General features: G+C 34.4%; 1 protein-coding gene and 1 long non-coding RNA gene across 17 annotated transcripts in view; one reads left to right on the plus strand and one right to left on the minus strand.

Annotated features, from left to right (window-relative positions):
* Nucleotides 1-24,284, minus strand: part of CACNA2D1 (calcium voltage-gated channel auxiliary subunit alpha2delta 1) — a 497,513-nt gene that overhangs the window by 392,803 nt on the left and 80,426 nt on the right. For all 16 annotated transcript variants that reach the window (XR_001744873.3, XM_005250574.4, XM_005250572.4 and 13 more), the window contains exon 2: nt 10,322-10,403. Coding sequence is in view for 15 of the 16 variants with exons in the window: in XM_005250574.4 (XP_005250631.1) it covers nt 10,322-10,403 (82 nt within the window). In the remaining variant the exon portion in view is untranslated. The remainder of the gene's footprint in view (nt 1-10,321; nt 10,404-24,284) is intronic.
* LOC124901688 (uncharacterized) lies at nt 2,021-15,101 on the plus strand. Its single transcript, XR_007060405.1, has 3 exons — nt 2,021-2,105; nt 9,912-10,023; nt 15,035-15,101. It is a non-coding gene; the product is annotated as an uncharacterized LOC124901688 (long non-coding RNA).

A 24,284-nucleotide genomic window follows, 5' to 3' on the forward strand; every position in this document is an offset into this window, starting at 1 on the left:
GAATGTCAGCTCATAAGCAAGTTAAGTTCCCTAAAGAGAAACAGTCAAATTTCTGCATATTAAATCTTAGGTATGTAAATTTTGACAACCCCATTTCCCAATACTTGCACCTGTACTTTCCTTCCATGGAAATTGTCTTGGACAAGCAATCAAGATTTCTGCCATATCCACAGCCATCTTTCTGAGGGACATTTTCCCTTTGACAATCCCTGATGAAATAGGAGCTCCCTTACACATGGCTAGAAATATTCTAATGTATGGCCTTGTCTTTGACTTCTAACCAATTGTATCAGGACTTATATTAGACCTGCAAGAAGTTAACTTCTGAGTCAATGGCATGTAACGAGCCAAATATAAAAGACCTGTATAAATAAAGATAACGCACTGAGCCAATCAGATGCTCTCACCACAAGATGACAGTTGGATGAAATAGCATGGATCAAAGGTTTAAGTAGAAGTAGAACTGAAGAGACTAGTGGGAGGAAAACAGTATTCAGATCTACTGAGCAATAGAATTGGTGGTTATGATAGACAGAATAATGGCTTCCCAAACATCCATATCCTAATCCCCAGAACCTGTTAATATGTTGTTACATAGCAAAAGGGAATTAAGTTTGCAGATGGAATTAAATTTACTAATCAGCTGGACTTAAAAGAAGATTACCCTAGATAGTCAGAGTTAGCCAATGGAATCACAAAGGTCCTTAAAAATGGAAGAGGAAGATGTGACTAAGGAAGAGTAAACTAGGGAAATGGCAGCATGAGAAGAAATCAGGCCAACACTGCTGGCTTTGAAGACCAAGGGAAGGAGAAATGAGCCACAGAAAGGACTTCTCATCTCCAGAATTGTAAGATAATGAATCTGCATTGTTTTAAACCAATAAGTTTTTAGTCATCTGTCACCATAGCAATAGAAGACTAACATAATGAGTTAGCTGTGAAGAGCTCCCAGCAGAGTCAACAATAATAGCTTCTGAGGCTGCCTTGCCTCTGAACTGCCCTTCCTCTGACCAAACTATTTTCTAAATAACTTGAGTTCTTGCTGAAAGCCAGGCTCCTCCTGAGTTCGCTTAATTTGGCTAAGTTTGTTTTTTGTTTTTTTTTTTTTTTAATAGGATCTCACTATGTTGTTCAGGCTGGTCTTGAACTCTCAGGCTTAAGCAATCCTCCTTCCTCAGCCTCCCAAAGCGCTGGGATTACAGGCGTGAGCCACAGCACCCAGTCTATTTTTTTTTTTATAAGTAGATTGATAATAAACTTTCTGAGTGATTCACTATTCCTAATAATGAAAAATTCTAACAGAATCCCATGTCTGAAGTTGTGATTAACATTATTTATTTATTATAACTTTGCATTTTCATTTCATTTATCATTAGATTCTGATGAATATGAAAGATGAGCTCCATTGTGAGCAACATACAATTTCCATTAGGCATCAGGAAATAATGAAATTAGTTCAAGGATACCCATTATTACCTTCACAATTGTGTGAGGTTCTAAGAAGAAAGATGACAGAAAAGCTAAAAATATCGAAATGAACATACATACATACATTGTATAAAACTAGACAAACTGGATAAATAAATATCATCCTACCTCAAAATAATGAGAAGTGGGATTAAAAGAAAGTGTTACATTATATTTCCCACCATCATTCTAATTCCACTCTCTATTGGGTAACAGGAGTAAATTCAATATCTTCAATACTAATGAAGGCAAGAAAAGGGATTCATTGTCACCTCTGCTGCTTCAGATACCCACAAAATCAATTTCACTTAATTTTAGTTGAATTTTGCAACGTGGGATGGTTTGTCTGTGGGTTATACATTTTTTTTTCCTTTATTAAGTATTCCTTGGGCTTTCGAACTACTTGTTCCCTAGCAACTAAGAATGTCTTCTTTCTAAAAGGTGTATTAACAGAAAAGAATGATATAATGTACTTTCTCGGTCACTTTCAAGGATCAAAGTTCCCTTAACTAAACAAATACTAATGTAGTATTTTTCTATATCATTAAGTCTCTTTTTTCTTTATCATAAGTCTCCTCATCATCTAAGCTGGCCATCACACAGAAATGTTGAGAAATGTGAAGATTCCTTCACCTAAGGTAAAGAGTAACTAGTGACTGTAGATCTGAATTGATGTTAGAATATACTTTAACAACAACAAATACAATACAAACAAAACCTCCTTTTCCCCATGAAAATTAGCTGTTTTAACAAAATGAATTTTGCCATAAAAATTATTTAATCATTTCTAATTAGTCCCTGATCTCTTCAACCTCTTCCTTCCCTTTGATTAAAATAATAAATGATGTAATCTACTAAATAAAAATCAAGCTTTTAAAATGTCTTACTCTTTAGCATATTGTCGATTGTGTTTAGGGCTGCTGGGTAAAGAACTAATGCAAATACCAACTGCTAAAATGTATTAATTCAACTTAGTGTGTGCATTTATGAAACTATAGGTAATCATTTTACAAGATGCATGACACTGTATTAATGTCATTTTTAAAAATCACATTTGAGCACGGTGGCTCACGCCTGTAATCCTAGCACTTTGGGAGGCCGAGGTGGGCGGATCACGAGGTCAGGAGATCCAGACCATCCTGGCTAACACAGTGAAACCGCGTCTCTACTAAAAATACAAAAAAAAAAAAATTAGCCAGGCGTGGTGGCAGGCACCTGTAGTCCCAGCTATCTGGGAGGCTGAGGCAGGAGAATGGCGTGAACCTGGGAGGCGGAGCTTGCAGTGAGCTGAGATCGCGCCACGGTGCTCCAGCCTGGGCTACAGCGCGAGACTCCGTCTCAAAAAAAAAAAAAAAAAAAAAAAAAAATCACATTTGATTCTCTGCATCTTCACTCTAAGTAAATTATGGCCTTTTTTTTCTTTTCCCTATAACCTAGCTTTTTGAATTGGGACACTACCTTTGAAATTTTTTATGACTTGATATTTCTATTTTGCTACTTATAAGCATGTGCAAACATCAAAGATATATAATTTATATACGTGTGATGTTTATTGAGTATTTTCTATTCCCCTTCACCACAAGGTAAATCTCAAGAAGACAAAGATTTTTGTCTGTTTTGTTCACTGGTACGTAACCAGCGCATAGCACAGTGCCTGGCACAATCAATACCAATTGCATGAATTAGTGAATGGATACTGATTCTCTGTCAGGCTTTGCTGGGAATGTGAATAATGATTTATAACAACTTCTTCCCTGTATTTTAAAATCAGTATTTATTTTAAACCTAAAAAAATCATGGTTAAGTAAGATGCTATGCAGTTACATAATAGACTACAAATACAACACCGATACAATAATTAAATTCCAACAATAGAATAAATACACAAATTAAGGTAATGATCAGTGTGAGGAAGAATATGAGTGTTCCAATGAAGAGATATAGAAATGTATGCTGTCAGAATTCAGAGGAAATTAAGATCACATAGGATGCAATAGTCACATAAATGAAACTACAGCCACGTTTTGGAGGAAACGTGATTCAGTAATGGATGAAAGAGATCAGAATGGGTGTAATACAAGGAGTTATGGGAAAATAAAGAGTGAAAGGCAAATTGAGACATAATTATGAAGGATGGTAAAAGGATCCTTCATATAAAAGGATGGTTTATATCTTATTCTCTAGTCTACCCAACATATTTTAGACTAGTAAACTACCTAGCTCAGAACTTCTAGTGGCTATCACAGCAATTAGTACATAGGAAGAATCTGAATTATAAATTTGTTTACTACAAACACAATCCAAACATATATATACACACACATGCAATTATATACATACCACATATACACACATATATAAATGCATAATTTGGTCATAGCCTCAAATTTATAGTGCATAATTTTCCAATGATAACTATATCAAACTAGCATTCTAATACCAAACTCACGAGTCTCCCTAGCCACTCTATTCTTTCTATTTGCTGTGATACAGCTTCTTAGCTAGGACTATAGCATTTCAAATGGAGCATCGTCTTTAGAAGGATATTTAGGAAGAATGAAGTCACAATTGGTGAGCGTTCTGCAGCACACACTGCTACTCGCCCTAGCTCCTATTAACAAGAACACGATGGTGATGCTTCCGAGCAATATATTAAAGACAGAAGAAAGAAAAGAACAAGTGACAATCGCAAACAGGCCACTTAATTTTCTCCATGTTATACATAGAACAGGTGATTATATTTAACCAGAAGTGCAGGTTGTCCCTAGAACAGAAAAACTAAACTATAACAAAGACTAAAGAATTTTTTGGTTTTTAGGATAAACGCATTTGACACAAAAAGTAAATTTTAAGTTCATGTTTAAGAATACTTAGATTCAAAACAAGGAAAACATTAACATACACAAATAACAGAAACTCTCTACCTGTTTTTTTGTTGTTGTCGTTGTTTAATTCTGGAGATAATTTATTAACCTAGCCTCTCTTTTTCCATATCTGAAGCTATATATAAATTTGAATACACATTTTGGCCAGAAAATTCATATGCAATTAGAAGTGAAAAAGATCATACTAAATTCATTAAAACTAAATTTAAAAATAATTAACCATAGGCTGAGTGAGCTGCCTGTTTAATGTCTCTAACCCCAAACGACCTAAATATATTTCACTGCCAATAAAACAATTTTTAAAAGCAGCCCAGTTTAATTTGCCCATAACTGTCATATCTTATTAACAAATGGCTTTTCTAAAGCAAAACTGATATGTACCAATGCTGATACACAATTTTACAAATTTATATTCATTTAAAGAATTTCATACACTCAGATTCTTCAGTTCTTCTTGAGCAGTTTTTCAACCTTAGTACAATTGACATTTTACAGATAATTCTCTGTTGTGAAGGGATGTCTCATGCATTGTAGGATGTTTAAAAGCCTCATTGGCCTCTATGCCAACAGTATGCACGTAGCAACCACCCCATGGCCCCAGTTATGATAATCACAAGTATTTCCATACCATCCCATGCCCTGAGTTATGATAATCACAAGTATTTCCATACCATCCCATGCCCTGAGTTATGATAATCAGAAGTATTTCCAAAGATTGCCAAATGTATGCCAGGGCACAAAACAGCCCCTGGCTGAGAACCATTGCACTAAATATATGTTTAGAGTAACAATAAATAATAACATATCCCTCAAGTACTAGCATAACTTCAGAAAATGTTAATTAACGGCCGGAAGAGAATGGGAAGGTAAAAGAAAAAACGTTTTAATATCTGTTGAGAAAATATTGAAAGTCACCCTAAAATTAGAAATCCCCTGAGTTTATTCTGTGTCTTTGAAAATGAATGTAATTAACCACTGTTTAAACAAAAATAGCTTCTTACTTAAAAAACTCCAGTGCAGCAGGGAGGCAGGGGGAGGATGATGGTGAAGGGAAACCATACTCTCTGCATTCTTTATAGTGCTATATTCTGCAGTCAAAATAGATTTCTTTCTACTTAGGACAAAAAGAGCAAATCCAGGAGTATAAGATAATTTTAAATTGCCTACATCGTTATGGTGCTGATTTAGTTACAGCACTTAATTGTTGAGGAAAGTAAGGCAACTCTGAATAAAAGCAAAACATATGGAATTAATAATAAATAGCTGTATTTGTTTATTTAAAGTGAGAAAGCACATAACTTCTTTAAAATTTTATATTGCCTTTTACCCTCAAAACAATTGTGTAAAGGGAATTCTAATATCTGATATTCTAATATGGCTTCTTTCAGCACTCCCGGAAATCTTTCTTGTTGCCTGCGCGTCTTGCTGATTCCCTAGTCAGGATCACCAATGATTAATTGTGCTCTGTTTTTGAGTATCTCCCTCTGTAAATATATTAAACTCTCCGCCACCTAGAAAAAGAATATTCTATTTACATGAGATGACATGACCACAATGTCAAAGAGTAAGCATTAGTCTGAATTACTAATGAAAAGAAATTCTTCACTCAGAACGCTTATGTAAATACTACCTTAATTGAGAGTGTTGAATGCTCAATATTTATACACATTTCATATTTACATCTTTGAGTAGCATATTGAAATGTAAAGGTATTGGTTTTGAAACTTTCACTTAATAAATCATTAACAATGAATCAAAAGCCAGGAAGTTCTATGGCAATGCCACTGTAGAATGGGCCTACCTTCAAAAATAAGCTTCCAGGAAAAATTTAATCCACACATTATTCTAAACATATTTGCAGATGCTATCCTAAAATTTTAGAAATTCAGACAGTTTACCTTTAAGAAGAAAGCTTCATAACAACAATGTGACATGCACCATTTCAAATGGCAATGGTAAACATTTCATTAACTTTAAAACATTGTTTACAGGAATATTAAGACTATTTAATTTTTAAAAATGTTATCTATTCATAAATATGTGATGATCAGCCTTGCCATTTGCCAGTGCAGTAGCTAAAGGAGTGTGTGTGTGTGTGTGTGTGTGTGTGTGTGTGTGTTTAGAAATATATTTCAAAATATTCTATAATTCAGATTATTAAAAATACATATATATTTTTCTAAATTTGGGGACTGTTTTCCTATTTTTCTGTCTAAAATGTTTTAAATGTGTAAATACAGCTTCCATCTCTGTTAATACAGCTTTAATACATTTTTATATATTCAGATAATAATACATACAAGTGAAGACTGCTCTTGTCCTCCACTATTGGTTCTGTCCCCTTCCATTGTGACAGAATTTTAGTGGGGCACATGGCTGCTCAGAAAAAGGCTCCACTTCTTTGACACTTTTTGAGTTAGATGTGACTAAGTTCTAACCACTGGAATGTGAGCAAAATGTCTTACTCTTAAATGACTGGATATCTTCTCTCCAAATCTCTTTCCCTTTACATGACAGCTGGGAAAGAAGAGCAACTGGAAGAATCATTTTGCACCCAGGCATGGAAGCCCCATGCTAAGGATGGCAGAGTCACCCTGCCAGTCCTAGATGGCTTACCTCTCAACTGCTATGTGGCAGAAAAATACATGTTTAGCTTGTATCTTTGTCATACTGGCCCAGCCTGTACCCCAGCTTATACAATGTCACCAAGTAATATGACAAATGAATGACATTTGTTGAGTTCTCACTATATGTCAATAAATATTTTATACAGATTGTATCGTTAATCCCAACAACTCCATGAGATTAAATAACTTGGCCAGATCCTAAAGCTGGCAATTGGCAGAACCAAGGTATAATAGCCTTAGGGATTTTTCAGAGGGATATGCTATAATACTCCATTTAAAGTATTATGGGTTTTCTTCAGTTAGAAGACCATGAAGAAAAAAATCAGTGAAAACTTACTTTCTGTACCATTGTTAGCAATTATTTCAATGGAAATACAAACAAACCATTTCTGTGCTATCAACAGAAATGGGAGGTTTTAAATTATGCATGTATATTATATGTTGACATTTCCTTACACTCTTTTCTTTTTGAAAAAAAAAATCAAATGGAAATATTCAAGAGTAGATCATTGTTAGTGGCAGAGCTTTGGCTTCTTCTAATTTATATCTTTTATAAAAAGAGCATTAGCATAATCTGATATACTCACCTTGTTTATGTGGGGATTTGCTTATGTTTTCAAGGTACAAATAAGGATAAAAAATGCTATTAACATATGTTCTAAAGCATACAAGAAGGTGTTTCAAATTTCAGAGTTGCATCCAATTTAATAGTTGTGTAACTTAGAACAAAATTTTAACCTTCTCTCAATTATTTTACCCATCTTGTGGATGAGCATATACAACTGATGGACATATGTATTCTCCAAATGGTTCAGTAATGGAATAATCCAATAAGAGACATCTTAAAAGTCTAATGCATCAGGGACAATAGTCCTAAACAAACCTATTCACTCTTGATCTTTAACAGAAGACAGGCAGGTAACCTGGGAAAAATCTCACATTTGTAAAGTTGAAGCACTGAATGTATTTAATAATATTAGCAACTTTCCATGGGCTACTATTTTAGGATACAATAAAGCAATTTTCACTAAATTGCAAAAATATATTACTATTTTATTTTATTTTATTTTTGAGACAGGGTCTCACTCTGAAGCCCAGGCCGCAGTGCAGTGGCATGATCACCAAAAATATATTACTTTAGCTGTGGTGCCTGTGTTGGTTCTTGGCCTTCATGTAAAAAGCTAATTGTACCCTGTGAATCCAATAAAAATGAATGTAATTTGTAATTTGAAGAACCTTCATTTCTACAATAATAAATTTCTAACTGGAGCCCTGCTAAGCTCCTGTATTTATTCAACTTCTGGTCCTCACCATATATCCAACACCCCCAATCTCAGCTCAAAGTTCACTCTAAACTCTGACATCCTTCAGCAAAAGGAATGAGGCAATACGGAATCATCTGTCTGTGTAAGATGACACTCTTTGTGTGCCCTAGTACTTAAATTCTATTTCCAATAATGAATTCTGCTCTAATACTCCTCCCACCACCCCAGTTACCTAACACATTATTCATTAATTTGGAATTTTTCTGTGACCGTAATGAGGTATGTATCCCATAAACAGAAAATTAGAGATTTTCTTTCATCTTTTCCATTCTATTTTGTTATGTTAATTCAGTCATTGATTAATTCATCAATATCTATACTCTTCTTAGTAATCTATCCTTCATAAAGCATAATAGAAACCAGGTGAAAATTCTTTTTGGTTAATGATTCATTGCAAAAAAGCAGATTCAGAAAAAAAAAGTTTCACATATTAACACCAAAAGGAACAATGAGGCCAGCCAAGCAAGTTGTTTTTTAAGGCTGGGGAAGCACTCACAGAGTAAGGGAGATGCTCCCAAGAGCAGCTTATTTTTAATCTCCATCTGTCGATAAAGACAGTCATATAACTTCTCACCAGAACCTGTACTTTCTTTTTTTTCTCATTATGATTAAATAAAATCTTTGCTCTCAATTTAAATAGTATCTAAATGAAAATTAACAAAGAAGATTTGGTGGTACTTCCATAAACTCCATGACTTTCATAGAGGCTCACTTACTACCTACACACTTTCATATTCTAATATAGTTTCCCACAGTGAATCATTGCAGATCCCAAGCATCGGCACACAATAACTTTCAAGTTTCTTTGCACTAGTAATCGAGATTTTTTTTTTATCAACAGAGTGTCAGTTCTCTGAGGAGAGGAATACTGTTTCTTTGTTTATCCTTGGCAGCCTGCACAGTGTCTGGGACATATTACGTGCTCAACATAATACACTGACTAGAATTAAATCTGATCATTGTTATTCGCAGGGAACACCTTTCATTTCCAAACGTATTCCTTATCTCACAGACACTTAGGTTTGTTCAACACTCTCTACAGTTGTTTTATAAAGAGATTCTGGTATAATTTTTTGAAGTTTGTGTGTATTTGGTTTCCTTAAGAATTTCTATTAATACATAAAGTAACCACACATTCCAGTTTCTCATATATATTTACATGATAAAAAGTCATGCTATATATGAAGCTGCTTTTATACCACTTTATCTCATTGACTCATCACATTTTTGGAAAATAAAAGGCCTCATTGCATCACTAACAACACAAAATGAGAATATTTTCAAATGTATTATTTACATTGAAACGAAAGTAGTGGGGCCCTTAAAAAGTGACATTTAATTTTTAATAAATCTTACAGAACCTATACATGTAAATGCTCTTACCCATGGAAAATAATCTAGTTAAGATGCCATACAAATATTTATATTGCTGTCACTCAAAAATCACTTTAGAGTGACTTTCATAGCTAATTCATAAGTCACAAGAAAAATCGTCTTTTATAGAGTCTCCTTATCTTGCACCAGAACCGTTATTACTGATCTCAGTGACTATCTCTAATCTCTAGACATGCCTGTAAACACTTTTCAAATAATTTTTACCCTAATAGAATGAATATATGTTTTCACTGAGGATATTCAAAAGAATCCATCACAGGAGTTCAAGTCACCACTGTATGAGGGATTATTAAATATATTCTGAAGAATGGAAACATTATAATAGTAAGTACATGACTTCCCTATTTAAATTTACGGAGAGTATACATAACACGCAGACTCACTTAAGTGAGACCTACGTATCAACTGCAAAGTGTGCTGAGAAAGTTTCCTTAATTTCTAAGGATGGCATTTCCTGTTCACAGTAACTAGCAGTACCAATGGTTTCTCTCAGAATTTCACCACCAGATCCACATGAGAAATCATATCCCATTTGTAATATAGAGACACAGTTTCCTAGAAGATAGAACTGCATTCGAATTAATGAAAAGATTAAGAAATCTCTTTGGTGGATTTTACTCACATCAACAAGCTGATTGACTCCACTTGCTGTTTTTGCCAGTGTGACAAGGTCTTCTTGCATCTTATCCACCCATGATTTGATACTGCAGAAATCAGAAAAGATTATGTTCTATCAGATCTCTGGCAAATAAAAGTCACATGCTGATATTTTATATCCACGCTACAGATAATTCATTAAAATGCCCTTAAATTATTCCTCTCCCTCCTAGCACCGACTATGTCCACCCTTCCACTCCAGCTTTAAATTGCAAAAGCACTGAATCCTTAGTGTGCAGGCTTTCAGGATGCTGAAATGCCTCCAAATCAAAGGAGAAAAATGACATTGATGTCTTGTCCAAGGAGAGTAAACAATTTGCTTATTTTGAATTAAAATTCCATTAAATAGCTATTAAACATTCTAAACTACAAACTTTATCTTTTAGCTTACAAGTCTTCTGAATATAATAGTAAGATCATACTAAATGCAGACCATTTGTAAAATGCAAGAATAATTCCACCAGCCAGGTGGAACATTCAACAATTTGATGCATTCCCTTCTAGTGTTTTAAAATTCATTCACATAGTTGAAAGTATGTTATATAAAATGCATATCTCTTTTAGCTTTATAACATATGATACATACTTTCCCATGACGTTACATTTTGTAAACATTTTATTTTTAATGGCCACTTAATATTCCATTATCTCTATATTCCATAATATACTTGATTATCCTCCTTTTTAAAGAGAAATTTAAGATATCATCAGCTTTTAACCACTACATACTACACCACCACAAATATCTTAGAGCCTGAAGCTTAAGAATATTTTATTTCCGGGCCAGACACGGTGGCTCACACCTGTAATCCCAGCACTTTGGGAGGCCGAGGCAGGTGGATCACGAGGTCAGGAGATTGACACCATCCTGGCTAACACGGTGAAACCCCGTCTCTACTAAAAATACAAAAAACTAGCCAGGCTTGGTGGCGGACGCCTGTAGTCCCAGCTACTCAGGAGGCTGAGACAGGAGAATGGCGTGAACCCAAGAGGCGGAGCTTGCAGTGAGCTGAGATCGCGCCACTGCACTCCAGCTCGGGCGACAGAGTGAGACTCCGTCTCAAAAAAACAAAAACAAAACAACAACAACAAAAAAATTATTTCCTTAGCTAGACTCTTAGATTTGGAATTACTAGATCCATTTATATTTGGAATTACTGAATTTGGAATTACTAGATCCAAATAATTACTGGAATTACTGGATCCAAATTTTAAAGCAATAGTTTTGATCATTACAATTATGATCGAAGGATTGATCTTTTTCAGGTATGCAATGGACATCTTAAAATATAAGCTATGGATGTCAGGATATTTTAGAAGACCCTAAATCCATGTTCTATCTCACTTTTTCCTGGTATGAGAGATATTACCAAATAGAACCACACAAACTTCCCCATTCATATTAAAATCATTTAACTTGTATTCCTCCATATATTTCACTTATTCTTCCTCAGGTTGTAGACCTAAAGCATGTATTCCTTTTTGCCAAGGCAATTGTAAAGAAACATTAGTAAGCCAGTAAGAATGCTAGATGATTTATATTTGAATTTGAACTTTTCTCTACATATCTATATATAATTTCAATAATGGAGATTTAACTGTGTATGTCTTCTCTTCCTTAGGGAAGAATTCCAGTAGTATAAATATAAATTTTTTAAAATATAAATGTAAGTAGTATAAATATATATTTTTTCAGATAAATTTAAATATAACAAAATATGGAATAAAAATATAACATGGAAGAGATTTAAATGACATGTAAGAGAGCATTTAAAAGAATGATGAGCTGATAAGAGAAAGAAAAAAATGGAAAGCCAGTTATAAAAAAGGATGAAATGCCTTAGAGGAAAACACAGAGGCTTGACTTACATATGAAACAAACTAGTTACTAAATGGAATACATTAAAACTAGGAATACTTTAGCACATATGAAAATAAGGAAGAATACTTATTGAACCACGCTGTATGAACAGGATAGAAAAAGGTAAATGAATATCAAGAAACAAAAACAAATAAAAGGGAATAATGTATAAAATAGAGAAAAATTGTTATAATAACATTTTAACTAGTGCTACTTATTAGCTGGTGCCTATATTTGAAAAATATTATAAGTAAATATTCTTAGTAAACATAGTTGTGCCCCATTTTTATATTAAATACAAAAAATTATAGTAGGGTACAGGTAGGAGCAAAAACCATTGATCCAGTAATTTCCTAATTTAGATGAGACTATCTCATTTCTCTAAGCAGGTGCTGAACAAGTCCTAGAACCTACAAAAAATGAGTCATCTCTTCTCAAATATAATTTCCAACACTGACAAATAATAAGACACGTTATACATCCCTTTAGCTCGAAACTGAGAGGCAAAGAATATATATGTAAAGAAGTGAACTTAACTCATCCCTGAATTCTGATTTATACTAAACTGACCCAAAACATGTATTCTAACTTGACACAAGTGCACTGTCACTTCCAGTGTTCATTTAGGTGAGCCTGTTTTGGCTGAAAAGCAATTCAGAACCCATCCAGTCTTCCCTACCCCACTGACAAGCTGTTAGGAACACTTTATAGGAGCAAGGATTATTTTTTATAAATATGAGGTGTTAACTTGGTTTTCTGAAATACTTAGGCACTCTGCCTTTCAACCTGGAATTAAAAGGTTATAAAAAATAGAAAATAAGGAAAGGTCCCATTCATCATGAAAGTAAAAAATTACTCAAGGGAAAACACTCATATGAGCAAAAATTTTTTATCAATCTTTCTCTTTCTTGGTAAACTGTCAAGCACAAATATGTAATCGCTAAGCACTGTTTTATTAAATTTATCCAGAAGACACTATAAAATTTGGGGGAAATTACAGAGGATACAGCTTTTTCACATAATAAGAAACTAACATAGCACTCCATTAGGAAGAATTCATTGTTGTTCTTTGTTAATCCATTCAACAAGTACTAGTAACTGCTGGAAAAGACACTAAAAGATGGAGATGCAGGCTGGGTTTAAAAATGGGTCTGGGAGGAAGAGAGAAAACAACAACAAGAATATGATAGGAAATGTTTGAGGAAGCAGAAGAGAGCCAATGCTTAGTAAGTAGTGGTATGAGACGGTTGATAGAAGAGGCTTTCTGGAGTAGCAGCTACTTGAAGTCATATTTGAAAGACAAGTGGAACTTGACAAAATTGAGCAGAGAGGGAAGTAACAATGAAGGCAAAGAGAATGTAAGACATGATGTGTTCAGTAACTTCAAGAGATTCAAATGACTGAGTCCAAGCTTGGTTCAGCAAAAGGTATGGAATGAGGGCAGGAGTGATAGGGAAGAGTGATAGGCCAGGCCAAGGGTCTTAAATACGATTCTGAAACATTTAGGTTATATTCTCAAAATAACGGAGAGATATTAGAAAATGAGAAGTCAGAGAGTAAAAAGATCATGTAAATGTATGTAAACATGATTAAATAATTTCCCTGACACTGAATGGATGGTAGCTTAAAGGGAGAACAGAAATCACAAAGACAAAGTCTAGTTAAGAGGTAAGAAATGAGATGGACTCAGACTAATTCAGTGGTGGTGAAAGGGATAAAGGGAAAAGAAGGGGAGGCCAAGTACAAGGAACTAGCTCAACAGAAATTCTGAAGGATGGACAGTAAGACTTCATGCACTGTTGGATATAGAAAGTGAAGGAGAGGAAGAATATGGGATGATTAGGGAGTTTCTCAGGTAGAGGATGATGGGAAATTGTGGTATAGAAAGTAAGTATAGGAGAAATAACAGTTTAAAGGGACATTGACAGGTTCATTTTTATTGGTTCGATTAGAGGTGTTTGGGGGAGGCTCAAGTATAAATATACACTAGGCAATTGAATGGCATGGGTTTAAAGCTCTTGAAAGAGAAATCTCCATAGAAATTAAAGATCAATGTATAACTCCCAAAGGAGAGTGTACAGCGAAAGGAAGGAAATAAACAGTAGTGACAACTCTGGAAAGGTACATTTAAAGAACAAATAGAGGAACCTGAGTAGTAACTAGAAAAAGGAATCCAAGAACAATGGTATCACAAAAGCCAAAGAAGGGAGAAGTTTCCAAAGAGAATAAAGAAGTATACAGTCATCAAATAAGGTGAGAAATTTATCCACCTTATCTTTGAGGAGAATGATACATGGAGAATGAGGAATCAGTGCTCCTTTTGGTTTTTAATAGAAGTGAGCCTATTTCTATGCAAAAAGAGAAAGGCAAGTAGAGAAGGAAATATCAAAGATTCAGGAGAGAACATGTAATTTATTGACAATGATGGGGTACAGGAAATGCCACCCCCAAATAGGGCACCTTGGCATTTAAGAAAACAGCAAAAGCAGGAAGGTCTTTCTGACCTTCTCCCACCAAGCAGACAATAAAGCCTAGGAAGATCACTGTCTGACCTTCTCCCTCCCTTCTTCGCTGAAGACTCTCATGTGGCGAGTGTCCTGCCCTATACCAAAGGGAAGGAACATCACACAGAGAGTCCAAGAAGTACTGAATAAACAAGTAGATCATACCCTTTCATCTTCCAGTCATACTTCTGCAATACTGTCCATAAAAACATATAGTTTTCCATAGGTCTTTGGGTCATTTTCTGAAGGCTCCTGTGTCACATAAAATTTAATTCACATGCTTTTCTCTTGTTATCTATCTTTTATTTTATAGGAGATCTCAGCTGTGAATCCTGCAATAGGTAAGAAATCTTTTCTCCCCTACAACAGTCCTTTAAAAGGCTCCAGATATTTTTTCTAGTTTACCCCTCTATTCCAACATGAGAATGTGGAAGTGGGGGATGAATTAAGAAATAAGTAGAACCAAAGAGAAATCTAATCCATGGCTAGAAGAGAGGATAATTCTTCTCTGGAAAATGGAAAGAGAATGCAGATTTGAGGTAAATGGAAATAACTGGAATAACTAGAACAAAAGTTGAGACAGTTTTACTTACTGCTCTCTATTTCCTTTGTAATGAAGGAGGACCAGTTATCTGTTAAGGGACAAGAAGTAGGTATTAAGGCAGACAGTTGAAAAGAAAAATGGGAGGCTTAAAAAGAATAGCTGGAAAGTATTTAAGGACTTGGCACTATACCGGAGGTCATCAGTTTCCACCGGTACTAGTCAGTATGGCTATGTGAAATTCTTACTAGTACTAGTCTGAAGAGAGCAAGTTCAGAGAAAAAAGACATTCAGATGAATGTGGGGCAGATACCAGCAGGTGAAAAAGAAAAACAAGGAAAGGCAAGTTGAAAGTCCTGACAATTTCAAGATCTCCACACATTCTAAATTAACAAGGACTACTAAAATATTTGCTAAAATGTTATTATACTGTATTCATAAACAAGGCTTATCTCTTTATATCTTTTTCTATGGAACCAAGAATTTTATCATAATATTTATAAGAAACTGTGAAAATACCATATTACCAGATTTCAAATTTTTATTTTTTGCATTTTTTGCCTGATAACTTATGAATATGCTGCAGAGACTAAATGAGGAGGGCTGAGTATACACATCACACTTTAAATCACCTGACACAGGCATTTTTAAAAGAACAAAATCCTAAAATCATTGTGAAATCAAATTGCTCTAAGAAAGTTTAATAGTTTGAAAATCTTTCTCTTAGAAATAAATATATACAATCTTTGGCCAGCTCAAGAAAGTGCATGGCAACTCATGTATATCTGGTTGTACAGGTATAATAGACCTTGACTAATAGGTACATTGTTTCCATGAGAAAATACACAGAATTTTTCAAATATGCAGTGGCAAGAACACACTTAACACTGCTTGTTAGAAATGTATATTCCCTGACTTCAAGTCTCCAACAGTAACAGAAGTTTCAGTGTTATAAAGACAGGACTTAAACATGATAGCTAGTCAGAAGAGTAAGAACAATGGATGGTACTTGTGAAAGAAAACGATGAGAAGCTCCAGAGTTTCCGTATGCAGTCAAGGTACATATGCAACAGGACTATGTCTTATCCTTTTCCTAACTAGTGTTCATCACTGCTCCACTGCCCTCTTGAGACCCGTGCTCCTATGGCTCCTATGACCATATTCCCTGGTCTCTCTTCTTTTATATTATTATCATCTGACTCCTTTTCATTTTCCCAAAGCCAAATATAGTCATTTCTCAGCATCTGTCTTTGATTTTACCTGCCATTCTCCTTCCTTACTTCTCTTTTTCTACTCCTTCTCCATATATAATCTCCATATATAATCTCCATATATAATCTCTAAATCTGAGCTCCAGTTCTATCTTAACTACCATTTGATCATTTCATCCAGATGTCCTACCATTCCTTTCAAATATGTATAAAATTGAACTCAATATCTTCCCCCCTCCCCATACTATAAACCCTCTATGTCCCTTCTCGTTGTTGGAAAATCATCTCCCCAGTCATCAGGGTCCATACCATCTTATCCCTCCTCCAGTCCTTTGTTTAATAGTAGTATCTCAGCATTTTTCCAACACAGAGCTAATAGCCAAATGCATTGAGACCTTATTTTATACCATCTCTATGCTAAAGTATTTAATATGCATTCTCTCATTTAGTCATCATAAAAACTAGGGTTCGTCTTTCACTGATGAGAAAAACTAAGAGATGAAGAAAATTTAGAAAAGGTAAGCAACACAGCCCCGCTAGCTTTTTCCTTTCAAAGACTTTTTAATCCAACCAACCTCACACATTTCCATGCATGTTGACTGTCCTTTTCCACATTCTGCCTTTGCTCTGTATATAACCTCTACCTGGAATTAATCTCCCACTTCCATCGCGAATGGATAAATCACACTAATATTCTAATATCACCTTTCACAACTTCCCAAACTAAAAATATTCTCGTCTCTCCACTAAACTTCAAAAGTCCTTTAATTGTGCTGTGCGCTTATTTCCTTATACTTTCAGAATTAGATAAATATACATTTATTCTCATTTATCAATACATTTCCAAAATTTTTATGACAGTGCTTTGAATATAGCAGACACATAAGTATTTATTGAATAGAAAAGTAAATTGAAATGAAATGCAATTGCACTACCATTTTTTTAAAAAAAATAGCTATCTTTATTTAATGTTTGAATGCGTATCTCTCCGTAATCCACATCAGAAAAAAAAAATGAACTGCTGGACCCATGCATCTGTAAATAGCATCCACTTTTCAACAAGTAGCAGATTATCAAAATTTAGACTTGATACTTTAAAGAAATGATTAAACCTCTAGAGTGCATGCCTTAAAATTCCAAATATTTTGTGTGTATTAATTGTCATAGAAAAAAAGTCTTATAATCCTTCTCTGTCCCTTCAATAACTCATTACAGAGTTGACTGGCAGTACAAGGTTTCTAAATGTTTGGTGTCTACAAATTCAATAAAATTTGAAGCAGTCACTAAAATATCTCTTAAAATTGAGGCAAATATTTTATTGAATAATTGAAAAAAATCTTTTATATCCTCTACTTCACTTTATTGTACAGAAACAGCCCAAATTCTAAAAATAAACATATAGAATATGCAGATTTTCATTAAGCATGAGAGAAAAAACTTGCCATTCAATTAATATTGTTCCTTTCAAGGTTGGATTTGTCTGTAATGTGGCTTTCAAAAGAGTAGTGCAGTGTATAGTTCAGTAAACTCTTTATTTTCAAAACGAAAAAAATATGGTAATCCATTTCATTTTGTGTGCATGTGCAAAACAACAAATTCAGAAAAACACAAATTACACTTTGTGTAATCTACTGTAAAAGTATAACAGTTGAGTACAAAGTGTCCAGTGTGCATAGTTATCTATTTAATTGTTTTAAATCCTAAGCTAAAGAGAGAATTTGCCTGGTTGGAACAATGCAGCCAAAATGATAGCTAAGAATTGTTATAATAGGTCCTATCCAAGATTAAACTGTCTTTCCTTCCTATATTTGATGTGGATAAGTCCTCTGGAAAAAATAATAATGTGTGTAAACAGATTTGTAAGAAAAGAATATTGAAACAGACCTTTTTTTCCATGCCCTTCCCAATTTATTCCACTAGCAATTGTCACAGAGACAAAGAGGGAATGGGAACTATACCACAGAGAAAATGGAAAGGAAGAGGGCTTGTTGTGGGGTGGGGGGTGGGGGGAGGGATAGCATTAGGAGATATACCTAACGCTAAATGACCAGTTAATGGGTGCAGCACACCAACATGGCACATGTATACGTATGTAACAAACCTGCACATTGTGCACATGTACCCTAAAACTTAAAGTATAATAAAAAAAAAAAAAAGAGGGCTTGTTACAGTAAGGGATTTATAGGAGGGATAGTGGGAAAGTGAGATGTCTGTACCACTCGGAGCCCTATCCTAAGGCAGTTCTCTGCTTTTTGCCACTATTTTTAAGAAATCGTTTATTTTTAACCGAAGCAAATAAGAGACATAGTTATGCCCTGTGGAGCTGGGGAAAAATTTAAATATCAAAAGATCTAACAAACTGACCACTTCAATTGTGTTGATGCATAAATAGCTTATCACAAATCTGAAGTAATAAGTTCATATATTTCAAAAGTCTAGTGTTCCACTTGCTATAAATACCCTACCAATGCCAAACTGTTCCTATTTTTGTTATATAATAAACCATCCACAGTGTTCCTGTAGTTGGGTAAAAATAACACAAGTAAGCCAAAGATTTAGATAACCTAGACATGAAATTTCGCTAAATATGCTTTTCTTATAACATGGATAAGTATACAATTAATTGTTTTGGTATAAAGGGAGTGCTTGTTATCTACATTAAATCGTAGGATTGTTTGTGAGATGGGTGTCATGCCAGAAATGTTAGTTAGTTCCTGAAATTATTCTCAATTTAAACCATTTTCAATAACACTGCTGCTCTGTTTTTAGAAAGCTGTTTCAACTTGTGAAGTGCTTTAGTATTCCATTTTTGACTAGAGTAATCCTGTAAGAAAGGCAGAAAAGGATGTACTCATGCTAATCAGTGGAAAGGTAAAGTACTTGAGAGTAGGAAAAAAGACTATCACTAAACTCTGATTCCTAAGCTGTTCATGTTTCTCTGCCTTCATTTTCTGTTTTTTTTTTCTGCTCGTGTGTGTGTGCGTGCATCTGTGTGAGTGTGCAGTTAATCCACATTACAAATTTCATATTCATAGATCTCAAAGGCCATGAGATCTACTTTTGTTCATAAGATCTTCTTTTCATGAGATCTAAATTTATTTTCATGAGATCTTCTTTTCCACTATCTTGGATTGATTTTTGTTTTATCCAAGTATTTTTTTTCATCTTTTCTTTATTTTCTTCCTCAGCTGCAGCAATTTGCTTCCAGCTTCCAAGACAACAAATAAAAATTATACTTTGGGGTTGATAGTAACATAGTTCCATGGATTAGCTGGGGGAGTGTTCTCATACATGAGATTTGTTCCCTGAAGCCTTGAGGGTTTTGTTTTTTATCCTTCCACATCACAATTAGTTACAACCTCTAGCATAGTCCCGGGTAGCCTGATGCCAGCCGAGGTGTCCCACGTGGCCACACAATCTGCTGCTGGTGTTTCTATGAACCAAATGAGCTAAAATTCTAATTGCTCATTACAAAATCTCCATTCATTTTATTGAAGATCTTTCCCTTTATGGTTTATCTGTGATTTTTCTCAGTCATTGCAAATTGTTCGCAAAATTTACTTCAGCCTAATTCGAGCATGTATTTAATTATTATTTAATTACCATGATATTACTTAATGTCATGGTAAAAATTTCCTTATTTTCTTTATTTCTATGAATTATTAGCTGATCATTCATAATATTTCCAATACTATAAAATCCTCCAATGCTTACTACTTTTGGATTCTAACCTAAATGGTGAATCTACTTCCCCATATAGATCAGTATCTCCAGTCCAGCGCACTGAACTGTTTTACAAATATGTCAGCTTTGTCATGCTCTTTAAATACGTTTTCTTTCTACTAAACTGAAATCACCTCTCGAATCCTCTTCAGCTACTGAAAATCACCCAAGTCTGGGCTTCAGGTCCCTCTTCTGGCCAATTCAAGTCCTCAAACTATCATAATTTTTTCTTTTCTCTGAGTATCTAAAATATGTACAGCCTGTCCTACAAAATGTTACACATACAGACATACTGTTTTATATCAGTGTTATTTCTCCAACAATATTTAATTTCCTTGAATGGATGGGCCATAGCTTATCATGTTCTGAAACTATCTAGCACAGTTCTGAACATACAGTGGCTACTTAAAAAACAACAGGTAATATCTATTGAGCACCTATATGTCAGGAACTGTTCTAAACATGCTTTGTGAACATACTCTTTAATTCTCACAAAAATCTATTGAGGTAGATACCGTTATTAGTCCTACTTTACAGATGAGGAAACTGAGGCATAGAGCGGTTAAGTTACTTACCAAAGGACACAAAATTAGTAAGTGGCAGAGCAGTTTGCCCTGAGAAGCCAAGAATGTATAACTCCATTAATAAATGCTAACTGGTGCCATGATCTGATTCATGGTTTGGTTTTCATTGTTAAACCACCAGATAGTAGCCCTCAACTCTCCTCTCATCAGAACTTGGAGATACCTCTTGTTTTCTAGTTTATAGACTGTCATAGCCCTAGGTTCAAAGTCTGTTTCATTGATAGAAAGAAAATAACATTTGCAGAAGTCTTTCTTTACATGGCAAGAAAAAAGGCTGTTACAGTTAGAAAATGAAGATTTAAAAACAAGAATACCTAAGTAGGTTCTTCCTTAAGACATCTCAGTGGAAATACATGCATATTAATAATTACCTAAATGCTATAATTTTTCCTCACGTTACATTTTTAAGTTTTCATCAGTATTTTCAAATTAAACAAGTACCATTTATTTTACTTACAACCAGAAGTTGTACTACTTTCATTAACATAACAAGACATCCTCAGTGTTATGCATTAGGTCCACAGCAATTGATTCTGATATTATTTATAACATGCAAACAGACTTGACATACAATAGCAGGTTAGGTGGAGAGACAGCCCTGATATGTTTATGAACATAAAATATTCTAAAAGCAACATTAAGTCCTTCAATATGCATAGAAAATATGACTATTTCAGCTGGCCTTCATTGTTTTTATGATGCAGGTTCAGATATACAAACAAATGTATGAATATAAAACCAGGACCCAAATTGACTCATGTGGCACTTCTTTTAAATATAGCCCATAGTGTAATTTGCTGACAGCTCTTCTAAGACAGGGTTTATTTAACAATCAAAAAGCTGTCAAAGCAAATATATTAACTTGCAAATTAGAAAGACAATAACTCTCTTTCTGAAAACCATCAGAAAAGAATATTGCCAAGTTAGTCCATCTTCAACTTTTTTATTTTTTTAACATTAAGTAAATGATTCTAGAGAAACAGGAATGAAGCCTTCAAATATGAGATGGTAAACATCTTTCTAGCTCAGAAAATATATTGCAATTTAATTGCTTTCAACCTTTTTGTCCTCACAGAACACGGTTCTCTTTGACCCTCTTTGCCTGAGCAGCATATACATTGCCCTTATGTTCCCCTCTGCTGGTCTGAGCACAGTGAACATTCTAAACAGAAGATTGTTTCTTAGATAGGAATTACAGCCAGCTCCCTTTCCTAACCTGCTCAATATAAATGAAAACCTAAACTACGTTTTTTACCAAACTGTTTTTCACCATTAATGCAGTAAAAATAACAATGAGAATTGTGTTTAAAAATAATGTTTATCAAATGGCAAAAAAGTTACAATTTTGAGCACTATCCAATAACCCCTTTCAGAAACTGTGAACCATTAGTGCAAAGTTTATATAAATGTCCAAGTAATACAGAAAAAGAAGTCATTTTTAATTTCTTGGTCATGTTTTCAACTATTTTTTAATTTGAATTGTTAAATGTTTCAAATTATGAAACATTTGCTAATGTTTAAAAAAATTATATAATTGCGATCTTTAATGTATTATATGTTGAAAAGCAGGTCAAAATCTAGGCAATTAAATTTTTTAAAATATTAAAATATTAGGCAGAAAAAGCACTTTGTATAACTAAATCCAATAGAAGCTTGCATATCATACGCTCAGTAGATTAAAAACATGCTTTAAGACATGACTAATGTACGTACAGTTATTGGAGAAGGCTTTTTTAAACATTTTTCTAGTTAAATATTTAGTATCATATAATTTGCTAATACTAACAAAAGAGAAAAATCACAGTTTTAGCTATATTCTCTCTTATGGGGTAGCAAATGTCAAGATGGTTACTGGAATTTAAATTATTAACATAAAATGTGAAATAAACACTTTAAAACACAATAGTTGATCTCATGAAAAGCCTCATTTGTGTTGATGTTTATATCTTTCATATTTCAAATAATTATTCCATAATTAGAAGCAAAGACTTGAAAACTGAATCATATTCAATCATCTCAGATACAGGTAGGAAGCATTTAACAAGCTCCGGTGAAAAGAGAATGGTATTTTAGCTTGAGGTCCCTGCTTAAGATGGCACGCCCATGTAACTCACCATCTTTATGAAATATAAAAGAATCATGAAGCAGCCAGTAACATGAATTAAACATCAACATTCCAAATGAATTGTTGCAGTCTCCCAATTTTTTTGTCATTATTAGTCATTCTGTTACTGTTCCTAGTGCTCCATTTAGAGCACATCCCAACGTAGATTTCAACAAGCAGTTTTAAAATGGACCACCCTGTATTGTAACGTTAAAGTCTAAAGATTTCTGAGGCTAGATCTGTGAATCATATGTGATTCAGCAGCCTCCCACAGGCCTGACAACCCTTATATTCTCTCTCAAAATGTTCCTTCTGTAGAAGAGAGGCTGAATGGACTCCTTTATCACCATTCAGGAAATACAAAAGGACTTGAGCACATGCAATCCATTAGAATTCACACTACCTGTTTTAGGTCACCTGCAGTAATGGAGGAAAAAAGGCCCTTCAGTGCATCTCCTGCTGTCTGCAGAACTGTCTTTTCAACTACCCTACATGTATTTTCCCAAAGCTCTGGTTTATCCTCTCATGTCTCTTGATCATATCAGGGAAATAGTGGCCTCATACTCATTTGTATCACCGTTGGACATCTTGTAAGCGAACCTTGAACTGAGATTATTTCTCCAATTACTGCAAGTAATAAATAATATTTTCAAATACTTCCAGAAACTGCAGAAGAAAACATCATGGTCTTTTAGTCCAGTTCTTAATAAATGGAAGCCTCCTTTATACATTACACATGAAAAATTATCATGGTAATTCTCTCAAATACTTCCTGCAATGGGCATTCATTACCCTACTAAAAACCTTTTTATTTAGGCACAAACTGTCAGAAAGTTCTGCTAGGTGCAAAAGAAATGATGGTATAATTGTCGTATGAATTGTCAGGCAACCCCCTGAAATAAGACCTATTCTTTACATACACTTCTACATTGCTTAATTTTTCAATGATTATTATCACTTTGAAATGCCTAAGTTATAAAAATTTCAGAAAAGAAATTAAGTGTCCTCAGGCATCCAATTTCTAATGCCTACCAAAAGAACACATAAAATAGTCTCTTATAATTTATGCAGCTGACTTAGTTATATATGGTCATCTGACTACCATAGTTTTATTTATTTGTCTCTTTTTTTTTTTTTTTTTTTTTTTTTTTTTGAGACGGAGTCTCACTCTGTCACCCAGCTGGAGTGCAGTGGCGCCATCTCTGCTCACTGCAAGCTCCACCTCCCAGGTTCATGCTATTCTCCTGCCTCAGCCTCCCCAGTAGCTGGGACTACAGGCACCTGCCACCACTTCCGGCTAATTTTTTGTAGTTTTTAGTAGAAATGGGGTTTCACCGTGTTAGCCAGGATGGTCTTGATCTCCTGACCTCTTGATCCACCAGCCTCGGCCTCCCAAAGTG

Source organism: Homo sapiens, chromosome 7 (genome assembly GCF_000001405.40).
Source record: "Homo sapiens chromosome 7, GRCh38.p14 Primary Assembly".
In the NCBI taxonomy this organism is placed as follows: Eukaryota; Metazoa; Chordata; class Mammalia; order Primates; family Hominidae; genus Homo; species Homo sapiens.